This window comes from Homo sapiens, chromosome 10 (genome assembly GCF_000001405.40).
Source record: "Homo sapiens chromosome 10, GRCh38.p14 Primary Assembly".
Classification (NCBI taxonomy): Eukaryota; Metazoa; Chordata; class Mammalia; order Primates; family Hominidae; genus Homo; species Homo sapiens.
In genome coordinates, this window is record NC_000010.11 from 78019626 (window position 1) to 78032494 (window position 12869).

Consider the following 12869-nt stretch of genomic DNA (forward strand, 5'->3'; position numbering starts at 1 on the left):
TAAAAGTTGTGACACCAGCACCACAAGCCCTGGTCTGCATTGAATGTGTTCTGGAACCTCTTAAACAACTGTCTTGTGGAACACCATTTTGGAGAAGTTAACTCTTGGATCATTAGTAACTCAACTGAGGACACACAACACAAGCTGACCAGGAACATCTATGATCTGGGCTAACTGTGAGTCTCATAGGTAAAGCTAATCAATATTCTCGTTAGCAGGCCCTGCAGTTACCTAGACCTCAATTTAAAAAAAAAAAAAAAAGTATGGGCTGGGCATGGTAGCTCACGCCTGTAATCCCAGCACTTTGGGAGGCCGAGGTGGGTGGATCACTTGAGGTCAGGAATTCAAGACCAGCCTGGCCAACGTGGTGAAACCCCGTCCCTACTAAGAATATAAAAATTAGCTGGGTGTGGTGGTGGGTGCCTGTAATCCTAGCTACTCAGGAGGCTGAGGCAGGACAATCACTTGAACCCAGGAGGTGGAGGTTGCAGTGAGCTGAGATTGTGTCACTGCACTCTAGCCTGGGCAATAGAGTGAGACTCAGTCTCAAAAAAAAAAAAAAAAAAAAAGTGCTAGCTGGGCACAGGGCCCTGTAATCTCAGTGACTTTCAGTGACTTGGGAGGCTAAGGTGGGATGATCACTTGAGGCCAGGAGTTCAAGACCAGCCTGGGCAACATACTGAGAATCCCATCTCTAAAAAATTTTTTTAAAAAATTAGTTAGGCATAGTGGTGTGCATGTGTAGTCCTAGCTACTCGGGAGGCTGAGGCATAAGAATGGCTTGAGCCCAGGAGTTTGAGGTTACAGTGAGCCATGAGCACACCACTGCACTTCGGCCTGGGTGACAGGGCGAGAGTCTGTCTCTTAAAAAAAAAAAACCAGGCCGGATGCGGTGGCTCATACCTGTAATCCCAGCACTTTGGGAGGCCAAGGCGGGCGGATCACGAGGTCAGGAGATCGAGACGATCCTGGCCAACATGGTGAAACTCCGTCTCTACTAAAAATACAGAAAATTAGCTGCGCATGGTGATGGGCGCCTGTAGTCCCAGCTACTCGGGAGGCTGAGGCAGGAGAATGGCGTGAACCTGGGAGGTGGAGCTTGCCGTAAGCAGAGATCACGCCACTGCACTCCAGCCTGGGCGACAGAGCGAGACTCCACCTCAAAAACAAAAAATAAAATAAAAGCCTTTCTGGGTATGTAGCAATAGCCTTAAAATGTTCAAATGCTTTGACTCAGTGACTGTAAAGTTTTAAAAATAAAAAATCTATCCCAAGAAAATTAACTATGGATAATGTTTACCATTTAGTTAGTTTAAAATATGAGGCATGAACCAACATAGAAAAGTGTCTACTTTTTTTTCTTAAAGATGGTCTCACTCTCACCCAGGCTAGAGTGCATTGACGTGATCTTGGCTCACAACCTCCACCTTCCATGCTCAAGCAATCCTTCCACCTCAGTCTCCCCAGTAGCTGGGACCACAGGCGCCTGCCACCACTCCTGGCTAATTTTTTGTATTTTTGGTAGAGACAAGGTTTTTACTGTGTTGCCCAGGTTGGTCTTGAACTCCCGGGCTCGGATGATCCACCTGCCTTGGCCTCCCTAAGTATTGGGATTACAGGCATTAGCCACCATGCTCGGTCAAGATGTTATTAATTGGAAAAAAAGTTGCAAAAAAGTATAGCATATATATGAGTAAATACACATGAAACTAGAAACAACTGTGGCTGCAAATGGTTTACAGAATATATACCACCAACTATGTATAAAGCAAACTGGGAAGACACATACACTCATATAAACCAAACTGTGGGTTGAGTGGGTTACTGGGGACTTTCTACTGCCTGTTGTTTGCAATACCAAAATATAACGTAAAAGACTGAATTTAAAACAAAGAATTGAGCAGCTGAGTGGTCACTTACCTTCTCAGGAAAAGTTAGAATTTTGGCCACATGAACTGGCACAGCTACCTCATCAATCCGGAGGTTGGGGTCGGGCGAGATGACTGTTCTGCCAGAAAAATCCACTCTCTTTCCTGAGAGATTTCCTCTAAATCGACCTAAATAGCCAAAAACATGTCATAGGTCCCCATGGCATACCATGTGCTCATGGGAACAATAAGAACGGAGAGACTGAGGAAAGCCTGTGACCTCCAATCAGAGAAGCTGGACAGACACTCCTGAAAAAGGAACCAAAGAGAGTGGGCTGGCTTCTGCACATCTTGTGGGAAACCTACCCTGTTTTCCCTTCAGGCGTTGGACGAAGCCTCTGGTCCACTTCTTGGGTGCCATGTTGAGGGGAATGCCCGAGAGCTCACTGTTAATGTAGAGGGCACACTGCAGCTGCAGGAAATCCCAGTCCTCCATGATCATCTGGGTCTTGGCTCCTGAGATCCGATGCTAAAACCAGCACAGCCCAAACAGAAACAAACCTGGTCAGTTTGATTTTTCTCACATTTTCTTGACCAGAAGTTTTTGGATAGATATACTATGAAACTTACAAGGAAATGGGAGGCACTGACCTTTTTAATAACATCGTTTAGGAAAATGATTTCTGTCAGTTTCATTGTCAGATCATCTTCATTGGTGCCAGACTTCAAATCACTCACAACGGAGGGTCTGATACACAAAGGAGGCACCAAAAGTCGTGTGAGAATCAAATCAGACGGCTTTCCGGCTTCTGGGTTCATCAGAAGTAGAGGAACATCTTCAGCTGGGATTCGTTTAAATAAATTCAGAACTACTAAGGGATTCAAGTTTTCCTATGGAAACGAAGAAAGGCAGAAATGGAGATACTATGTTAGTTTTCCATAGCTTGGGCAAGGTTTTCCTTCACTATGTTTTCTAACCTATCTGTCACTAAGGATAAGTGACAACAGAGATTTCTATGGATGATACGCTATGCTGCAAGAGCCTTAAAATTGTGTATGTCTTTTATTCCAATTTTTCAAGCCAAAAATTCCACTTCTCATTATTCCAAGGGGTGTAACTTCAGAAATGAACACAAAGATTTAGCTACAAGAATGTTCACAAAAGCTGTTTTTTGTTATTTTTTATCCGTGTGACAGAATAGGAAGGTAATAAAAGCTGTTCTTAACAGTGAAAAGTTGGAAAGAGCCTGACAGTTTATTGGCTAAATAAAATCACGGTATATCCCTATGTGGAAAAGCAGCAAGCCATTGGGGGGAAAAAAAGATACTAGACAAACACAGCAATTGACATAAAAAAGGTCCATAAAATATTGGTAGCTGGAGGCTGGGCGTAGTGGCTCATGCCTGTAATCTCAGCACTTTGGAAGGCCGAGGTAGGTAGATTACCTGAGGTCAGGAGTTCGAGACCAGCCTGACAAACATGGCGAAACCTCGTCTCTACTAAAAATACAAAAATTAGCTGGGCATGGTGGCACACGCCTGTAATCCCAGATACTTGGGAGGCTGAGGCAGGAGAATCACTTGAACCTGGGAGGCAGAGGTTGCCGTGAGCCGATATCATGCCATTGCACTCCAGCCTAAGCAGTAAGAGTGAAATTCCATCTAAAAAAAAAAAAAGTGTTACTGGCTGGGCATGGTGGCTCATGTCTATAATCCCAGCACTTAGAGGGGCTGAGGCGGGTGGGTCACCTGAGGTCAGGAGTTCAAGACCAGCCTGGTCAACATAGTAAAACCCTGTCTCTACAAAAGTACAAAAATTAGCCGGGCATGGTGGCGGGCACTTGTAGTCCCAGCAACTCGGGAGGCTGAGGCAAAAGAATCACTTGAACGTGGGAGGTGGAGGTTGCAGTGAGCCTAGATCGTGCAACCGCACTCCAGCCTGGGTGACTGAGCAACTCTGTCTCTAAAAAAAAAAAGTGTTACTGTTAAAAAAGAACTAAGGTAAGCCAGGATGCAGTGGCTGACACCTGTAATCCCAGTACTTTGGAGGCTGACGCAGGAGGATTGCTTGAACCCAGGAGTTCAAAGCCTGGGCAACATAGCAAGACCTTGTCTCTACAACAAATTAAAAAATTGTTGCTGGGGGTGGTGGTGTGTGCCTGTAGTCCCAGCTACTTGGGAGGCTGACATGCAAGGATCACTTGAGCCTAGGAGGTCGGGGCTGCAATGAGCCTCGATCATACCACTGCACTCCAGCCTGGGAGACAGAGAGAGACCCTGCCTCAAAAATTAAAATAAATAAATAAACAAATATATAAAATAATAATAAAAAAAAAGAACTGAGGTAAAAACACAAACAAGGGGCCAGGAATGGTGACCTATGCCTGTAATCCCAGCACTTTGGAAGGCTGAGGTGAGAGGATCTCTTGGGCTCAGGAGTTTGAGACCAGACTGGGCAACACAGCAAGACCCCATCTCAATTAAAAACAAAAGCAAAAACAAAAACAACTGGTGTTACAAGGCCAGTCCACATTAGCCTTAGTGCCAGATAAACACTGTTACGGTCAAATAAGAATTACTGGAGAGCTGGCCGGGTGTGGTGGCTCATACCTGTAATCTTAGCACTTTGGGAGGCTGAGGCGACTGGATCACCTGTGGTCAGGAGTTCAAGACTGGCCTGGCCAATATGGGGAAACCCTGTCTCTACTAAAAATATAAAAATTAGGTGGGCATGGTGGCACATGCCTGTAATCCCAGCTACTTGGGAGGCTGAAGCAGAAGAATCGTTTTAACCTGGGATGCACAGGTTGCAGTGAACCAAGATTTGCACCACTCACTCCAGCCAGGGTGAAAGAGCGAGACTCTGTCTTCCATCTCAAAAAAAAAAAAAAAAAAAGGAATTATCGGAGAGCTGTCGAACCTAACTGGACCTCTCATTTTGGAAGAAAGTGGGTGTCTAGGGGTGGGGCGGAGTTGGGGGAGAGAGTGTGCATGTGACGTGCGGAAGAGGCAGGCGGGAGGCAGGCGGAAGGCAGGCGTGCATTCTCAGGCTCACCTGTGCCCTTCCCAGCAGAGGCTCCACTTCTTTATTATGTTCAATGGCTGTTTCAAAAGACTGAAGGAAATTTGATACAATGGGATCCACCACTTTTTTGTTGGTCTTGTATTTCTCATGAATTATTTTCAGCAGTCCACACTTCTTTACGGTACCTATAAGGGTTAGTTTATTTACCAAGAAATAAAAAATTATGTTCTCAGATTGGCCAGAGATTGTAGTATGGTTAATGAAATTACTGAAACTACTATAGCAATGAAAGATGAGAGGTCCGTTTCCCAATAGGACATCAGTTGTTGGGCTCTTAAGCCTAATTTATAAGGAGAAAAGCTGACTCCCGAACATTATGTAAACCTAATAAACTAAACAGAAGACAGTGAGTGAAAAGGGCTATTGCTTAGCCTTCTGTGCATTCCACTCACCATTAAAAGCGCCACAGTGATGGCAGATGTTTTTCTTCCGGCACTTGTCAGAGATTTTCTTTTTCAGTCCTCGCTTCTGAAGGTAGGTCAGGCCGGGCCTCTTTAGATAGTCCAGAAACTGCTTCTTCTCCTCTTGGGACAGCATGATGTGGCAGCAGGTTTTGCAGATCATCTTTTTCAAATTAAGCAAGACAGATAAAAGCATAAGTGAGAATGAAAAATTATTTTCTTTTAAAAATGCCATCGCCCTGTTTTGTACCCTTAACCACGTGACCATATACACAGATCTGCAAATGGCTCTATACTATGGATATGCAGAGAGGAAGCCTGTGTTCACTAGATTAGCAGTACTCACAGCCAGTAGGCAGACTTTGTTACCTTTATCTTTTTCTTTGTGCTATTCTGTATTGTTTGAATTACTACTATTGTTATTTTTTTAAGAACACGTATCTACCATCTTCTCAAGGTAAATAAACAAAATAAATAATTCTTGAGTGATTTAACGTAGTGTGAGATGAAAATATTATGTACTTAGTATAAAAGAGTCCCCTAGATGTATCCCCCACCACTCACAGTTCCTAAGTTCATTCCAGCATCCCTGACCAATCACTCCAGAATTTATGTCTTGGAAATCAGCACCTGTGTGCTTACCTGTAAGATGCCTATGACTGCTCTGAAGTACCCTACATGAAAACACGGCAACTCCAGGTCGATATACCCATAGTGGCCTAGACAGTCAGCCAAGTTTTTCCCACAGGTTTCACATGGACGATCCTTCTCACTCGTACCCTTTGAAAAAAAGCACACCCAATGATCAACACAGACTGCTGGACGGGAAAGAGTGCCCAGCCATCATGCCTGGCTGGTGACACAGAATCATTTCTTTTGCTTCTTAAATTTCCTTTCTGAGATCACTTCCTACTGTTTTTCTTTCTTTTCTAATTTTCATGACTCAGAATCGAATCAGGTTGCTGACTAAAGGCCGGAGTTCTTGACCTAGTCTAATATGTGCAGGGGGGAATTGAGGAGATGGAAGGAAGCCCCTGCTCCTTTCAATCTGGTAAGTCACCAGTTTTATCAGCAGGGCAAGACACAGTTACCAGGAGGGGTGAGGGGGCCTTACCATCCTATGGTCGAGCACCCCATATAGCAAGGGGGCATGTTGGTTGTCCTGGCTGTACAGGTTCTTACTCACAACTTGGATGTGCGCCTGCTGGCGCATCTCCTCAGGTGACTTCATTCCAAAACAGATGTGGCTTCTGGAATGGGAAGAAAAAGGTGAAAATTACAGCAAAATCTGTGACCAAAAATGTCTATTACATACATAGCCCACCATAACCAACCTATCCTTCCAACTGTCTCCACTGGCTTTTCCTACCAGTATTAAATATATTTAACCCTCTCTCATTTTTCCTTCACAAACATCCCTTCATCTTACTGGAATCCAGTTTCTACTCTCACCATCAAAGGAACAGTGCTCACCAAGGCCACCTAGACAACCTGCCTGCTGCTGAATCCAATAAGAACTTCCTCATTTTACCTCTGCAGCACTGGCAGCACCCTGCCCAATCCTGAAGTGCTTTTCTCTCGGCTTTGGTGACACCATACACTCTGAGTTTTCTTCTTCCCTTCTCTGGCTGCTCCTTGTACAGTCTCTTTTGAGGTCTTTTCTTCTACTGCTATCCCTTAAATATTGGTGCACTGTACCACCTAGCATTACAACCTTCATCCTCTTATCTTCTCATCCTACACATTCTCCTGAGTGATCATGCCACTCACATACATGTTGATGTCTATCAAATCTATCTCTATAGGCCAGCTACTGCTACCCAACTGGACATCTGTATAGACACCTCCTCCTGGACAGTTCCACCTAGATATCTCATAGGCACTTCAAACCCCACACATTGAAAACAGACCTCAATACTTTTTCTCCCATGTCTGTCCCTTCATTCATTCTTCCAACAAATTGACTATTTCCTATGTGCCAGGCACCATCCTACAGGCTGAGGATACAGATTAGCTAAGACAGACAAGGTCCTTGCCAACAAAGAGCTCACAGGTCAGGGTGGGAAAGACAGACCACAAACAAACGAATATACAAATGTGAACAGATGCAGAAGTGATGTAAGCAGTGGAGTCTGAGGAATTACTTTACGTTGCATGGTCAGAAAGCCTCACTGTAAAACTGACAATCAGAAGGAAGAGCATCTGAAGTGGAGAGAATGACTAGGGCCAGGGTCCTGGGACTGGCACAAGCTTGGCATTTTCAAGGAACCAAATGAAATCAGTATATACTGGAGCATAGAAAGCTAATAGTACAAGATAAAGTCAGTGAAGCATGCAGGAGCTAAAGCATGAGGGCTTGGGAACTTTGGTAGGGAATTTATTTAAATAACATAAATGCAGCCGGGTGCGGTGGCTCATGCCTGTAATCCCAGCACTTTGGGAGGCCAAGGTGGGTGGATCACGAGGCAAGGAGATTGAGACCATCCTGGCTAACATGGTGAAACCCTGTCTCTACTAAAAATACAAAAAATTTGCTAGGCGTGATGGCCCACACAATGGAAAGCTGCTAGAGGATTTTTTTTTTTCCCTGAGACAGAGTCTTGCTCTGTCACCCAGGCTGGAGTGCAGTGGTGCGATCTCAGCTCACTGCAACCTCTGCCTCCTGGGTTCAAGCGATTCTCCTGCCTCAGACTCCCAAGTAGCTGGGGTTACAGGCATACAGGCATGCGCCACCGCACCCAGCTAATTTTTGTATTTTTAGTAGAGATGAGGTTTTACCATATTGGCCAGTCTGGTCTTGAACTTCTGACCTCATGATCTGCCTGCCATGGCCTCCCAAAGTGCTGGGATTACAGACGTGAGCCACCACTCCTGGCCTCTGCTAGAGGATTTTAATTGACAATACCCTTAATTTGCACTTTGACAGAAGCACTTTCTCTGTTTTGTGAGAATGTATTATATCTGACTGGGCGCAGGTGTACAGGTGGGTGTGAAGGGCCAGTGTCGATGTAGAGCTACCACATGGGAGAATGCTGCATTCACCTAGGTAAGACACCTGTTCTAGTGAATGGCAACCATCCACACAGCTGCCCAAGCAAGGCATTCTGTATATCCGTCTCAAGGTCTCTCGACCTCTAATTCTTTCCACCATGAATCAAGAGATTTTCCAGAAGGAGAACTCTTATCAAGATACTCTCCTGTTGAAAATCCTTCAAAGGTTCCTCACTGCCTACAAGATGACTTCTTAACACAGCTTCAAGTCTTCTGCTTCCTTCTGATCACCTGTGTTCTCTCCCTCAGGTCTGCTCCTTGAAAAAAGCAGTTTGGTCTGCTTTCTTTTGCCTGGACCCATTATGTGCTCTCAAAACCCCCTGGACCTACCCTTGTCATTGCACTTGTCGTACCCAGTGTTGACTTGTGTACCTTCTCCAACTAGATTAGGCAGTAAAAGTTTTATTCAGACCGTATCTTTAACGTCCAACACTGGGAATAACGCGCAGTATCCTCCTCAGTGTCTGCTGTAAGAATGATGAATTCACTTTTTTTTTTGAGACACCGTCTCACTCTGTCACTCAGGGTGGAATGCAGGAGGTTGCCCACTGCAACCTCTGCCTCCCAGGCTCAAGTGATTTTTCGGCCTCAGCCTCCCGAGTAGCTGGGACCACAAGGGCGCGCCACCACGCCTGCTAATTTTTGTATTTTTGATAGAGACGGGGTTTCGCCACGTTGCCCAGGCTAGTCTCAAACTCCTGAGCTCAGGAGATTCACCCGCTTCGGCCTCCTAAAGTGCTGGGATTACAGGAGTAAGCCACCGCGCCCGGCTGGATTCACTTTCTTACCGAGAACTCTAAGAAGGAGCCACCGCCTAATAACGTATTTCTGAAGGCAAAAGTCCGGATAGCAGCTTTATTTCTGACACTGCCATCCGTCGGCCTGTGGTACAGCTTTCTAGTGGGCAACCCCATCCTTTTGGTAAGCAACTACTGCCTCCGTGTCAGACGCTCTGCGGCTGACAGAATTAGAGACAGTCCCCGCCCCAGATTGCTCCCCTCGCTGCAGCAGGGGATAGTTCGCTGAAGAACAGGGATCATTGTATGACTTCAGGAGAATGCGAGCTTTGGCCCAGGGTGCACAAATCATTAAGGCTCAGGCCACTCCGACTTCTCCGCCCAAGTCCAGGGACCTCTCGAGGTGCTGAAATCCCCTCAGCCTGACCAATGCTCTTTGACCAACGCTGGTAGTTCTGGGCGCTGGTCACACCTATGGACTACTGGCCCTCCCCTTCCCATTGCACCCCATCTCTGACCCTGCAAGACCCGGGACCGCTGACCTCGGACCCCTTGCCCTATTTCTCAGCCCTTTGGCCACTCTTACTCCGTCTTACATTTTCTTGGCCACATCCGTCTCCCGGAACTGCTCCTTCACCATGATGACCGCTGCCGGGACGCCTCCTTGGCACTCGGGAGGCCAGATTAGAGAAACGATGCCCCCAGCACCTCCTGGGGCTGCTTCTGGACTCGCCGCTAACACATCTGCGGCATCCTCTCGGCCACCGTAGAGTGTCCCACGTGTCCGCTTCCTCTTCCGCTACTCGCCCGCGCGTCTGTCTGTCAAGAGAGACTTCCGGCATGCCTTTTTTTTTTTTTTTTTTCCCTTTCCCCGCACCGTCACCTGGTGGCGCTTACTGGAAGCCGCACCGAGGCGTGTGCTGTATTTTAAAAATCCCATTTCTGGTCAATTTCTCCACGTAATCAGACACCCGCAGAGAAACTGCATATAACTCTTTGCCTCAAGGCTTTTAGACAAGCAGAGGGCCAAAACTTGCATAAAATGGAAAATCATCATCATTAACATCAGTACCATCTAAATTAAGAGCTTCTAATTGTTTTAAGGGAAGGTGGAAGCTAAAATGAACCGGCCCATCCAACAGAGGGCACTATCTGTGGAGGACCAACAAAGGAAAACAGAGCGGAAAATATGGGCGCACATGTGCCTCCAGTTCATGAAGTTATTTGGAGGGAGGGGGGAAGAATTAAACTTACATTATTGATTACAAAAACAGTTGAAAATCTGTTAGAGTGAAAACAGCCATGGTAATCTACAGAAGAAAAGGGAGAATGGAAAGTAAAGATCATTCATGTCTTGAAATAAGTTGTCTACAGTCTGTGAGAACTTGTGGGAGGTGATCCTAGTGTGATATATTAGTGCATGAGCCTAGCAAGGAAATCACATCACCACAGGGCTTAGCGCTTAGAATTAGAACTAAGTCCTCATTATTTGTGAGAAACTCAAAACAGAACTTAACAAAAGTGTTTAACAACTTTCAATTTTTAAGAAGGGACGCTATCTCATTTTCAGACGCCATGGATCCTCACTAGCAAAACACAATGTCACAGACAAACGAGGCATATCAGGTTTTTCTAACTCATTTCGGTACTCCATCACTTAATCATGAAATAATGTTGACTATATATATATATATATATATATATATATAGTCAACATTATGGGTTTTTTTTGTTTTTTTTTTTTTTTTTTTTTTGAGACGGAGTCTCGCTCTGTCGCCTAGACTGGAGTGCAGTGGCGAAATCTCGGCTCACCGCAACCTCCGCCTCCCGGGTTCAAGCGATTCTCCTGGCTCAGCCTCCCGAGTAGCTGGGACTACAAGCGCCCGCCACCACGCCCAGCTAATTTTTGTATTTTTAGTAGAGACGGGGTTTTACTATGTTGGCCAGGCTGGTCTCGAATCCCTGACCTCGTGATCCGCCCGCCTCAGTCTCCCAAAGTGATAGGATTACAGGTGTGAGCCACCACACCCGGCTCTGATGTTTACAATATTATACCAACAAGGGTTGGATCGTGTGTGACTTATCTAGAGGTTAAGAGCAAAAGTTATGAAATCACAGTGCCATCATGGGAGTCTAGCTTTCACCATTTAAAGTTGTGTAGGCAGCCAGGCGTGGTGGCTCACGCCTGTAATCCTAGCACTTTGGGAGGCCAAGGTGGGCGGATCACCTGAGGTCAGGAGTTCGGGACCAGCCTGGTCAACATGGTGAAACCCCATCTCTACTAAAAATACAAAAATTAGCTGGGGTTGGTGGTGTGCGCCTGTAATCCCAGGTACTCGGGAGGCTGAGGCAGGAGAATCGCTTGAAGCTGGGAGGTGGAGGTTGCAGTGAGCCGAGACCATGCCATTGCACTGCAGCCTGGGCGACAAGAGTGAAACTCCATCTCAAAAATAAAAAAAAATAAAAAATAAAGTTGTGCAGGCCGGGCGCGGTGGCTCACGCCTGTAATCTCAGCACTTTGGGAGGCCGAGGTGGGCAGATCATGAGGTCAGGAATTTGAGACCAGCCTGACCAATATGGTGAAACTCCGTCTCTACTAAAAAATACAAAAATTAGCCTGGTGTGGTGGCGCATTCCTGTAATTCCAGCAACTCAGGAGGCTAAGGCAGGAGAATCGCTTAAATCCGGGAGGCGGAGGTTGCAGTGAGCCAAGATTGTGCCACTGCACTCCAGCCTGGGCAACAGAGCAAGACTCTGCCTCAAAAAAAAAAAAAAAAAAAATATATATATATATATATATAGATATAGATATAGATATATGTGTATATATACACATACGTGTATATATACACGTATATAAAGTGTGAACTTGGGAAAGTTATTTAATCTTATTGTGTGTTAGTTTCCCCATTTATAACATGGGTGAGTAATATGTATCCTATTTCTTAGAGTCAATGGGAAGGTTAAATAGCAAAATGAAGGTAAAAGTAATTAGAATGTAACAGGCACATTACAATCACTCAATAAATATTCTTCTGCCTCAGCCTCCCGAGTAGCTGGGACTACAGGTGCGCACCACCATGCCTGGCTAATTTTTGTATTTTTAGTAGAGACGGGGTTTCACCATATTGGCTAGGCTGGTCTTGAACTCCTGACCTCGTGATCTGCCTGCCTCGGCCTTCCAGAGTGCTGGGATTACAGGCATGAGCCACCGTGCCCAGCCGGCTGACTATTTTCTTAAGAATAAGGATAGTTGGTCACCTCGGGAGGCTGAGGCAGAAGAATCGCTTGAACTTGGGAGGCGGATGTTGCAGTGACCCGAGATCCCGCCACTGCACTCCAGCCTGGGTGACAGAGCGAGATGCGGTCTCAAAAAAAAAAAAAAAAACAAAAAACGAAAAAAAAGAAAAATAGTCGGCCGGGGACGGTGGCTCACGCCTATAATCCCAGCACTTTGAGAGGCCGAGGCGGGGGCGGATCACTTGCGGTCAGGAGTTGGAGACCAGCCTGGCCAACATGGTGAAACCCCGTCTCTCCTAAAAATACAAAAATTAGCTGGGCATTGTGGCGCAGGCCTGTAATTTTAGTTACTCTGGAAGCTGAGCCAGGAGAATCGCTTGAATCCGGGAGGTCGAGGTTGCAGTGAGCCGCGATGAAGCCATTGCTCTCCAACCTGGGTGACAAGAGCTAGACTCTGTCTCAGGAAAAAAAAAAAAAGAAAATAGGA

The 12869-nt window shown here is 45.9% G+C and overlaps 1 protein-coding gene across 1 annotated transcript in view, besides 2 other annotated features; it reads right to left on the reverse strand.

The window, feature by feature from the left end:
* The window catches only part of POLR3A (RNA polymerase III subunit A), a 54367-nt gene extending 44477 nt beyond the window's left edge, over positions 1–9890 (reverse strand). The window contains exons 1-8 of the mRNA NM_007055.4: positions 9739–9890; positions 6469–6604; positions 5997–6134; positions 5346–5517; positions 4924–5078; positions 2520–2759; positions 2235–2397; positions 1921–2057 (exon numbers count right to left, since the gene is read on the reverse strand). Of these exons, the coding sequence (NP_008986.2) occupies positions 1921–2057; positions 2235–2397; positions 2520–2759; positions 4924–5078; positions 5346–5517; positions 5997–6134; positions 6469–6604; positions 9739–9782 (1185 nt within the window). The 5' untranslated portion in view covers positions 9783–9890. The remainder of the gene's footprint in view (positions 1–1920; positions 2058–2234; positions 2398–2519; positions 2760–4923; positions 5079–5345; positions 5518–5996; positions 6135–6468; positions 6605–9738) is intronic.
* Positions 5168–6367: an enhancer, noted in NCBI's record as "CDK7 strongly-dependent group 2 enhancer chr10:79784551-79785750 (GRCh37/hg19 assembly coordinates)". NCBI's record gives its function as "activates an origin of replication core promoter dependent on BRD2, BRD4, P300/CBP, MED14 and CDK7 cofactors, with strong dependence on CDK7, by STARR-seq in HCT116 cells {active_cell/tissue: HCT116}" and the evidence as "EXISTENCE:reporter gene assay evidence [ECO:0000049][PMID:35650434]".
* Positions 9810–10059: an enhancer, noted in NCBI's record as "active region_3612". NCBI's record gives its function as "activates an Ori minimal core promoter by ATAC-STARR-seq in GM12878 lymphoblastoid cells {active_cell/tissue: GM12878}" and the evidence as "EXISTENCE:reporter gene assay evidence [ECO:0000049][PMID:35858748]".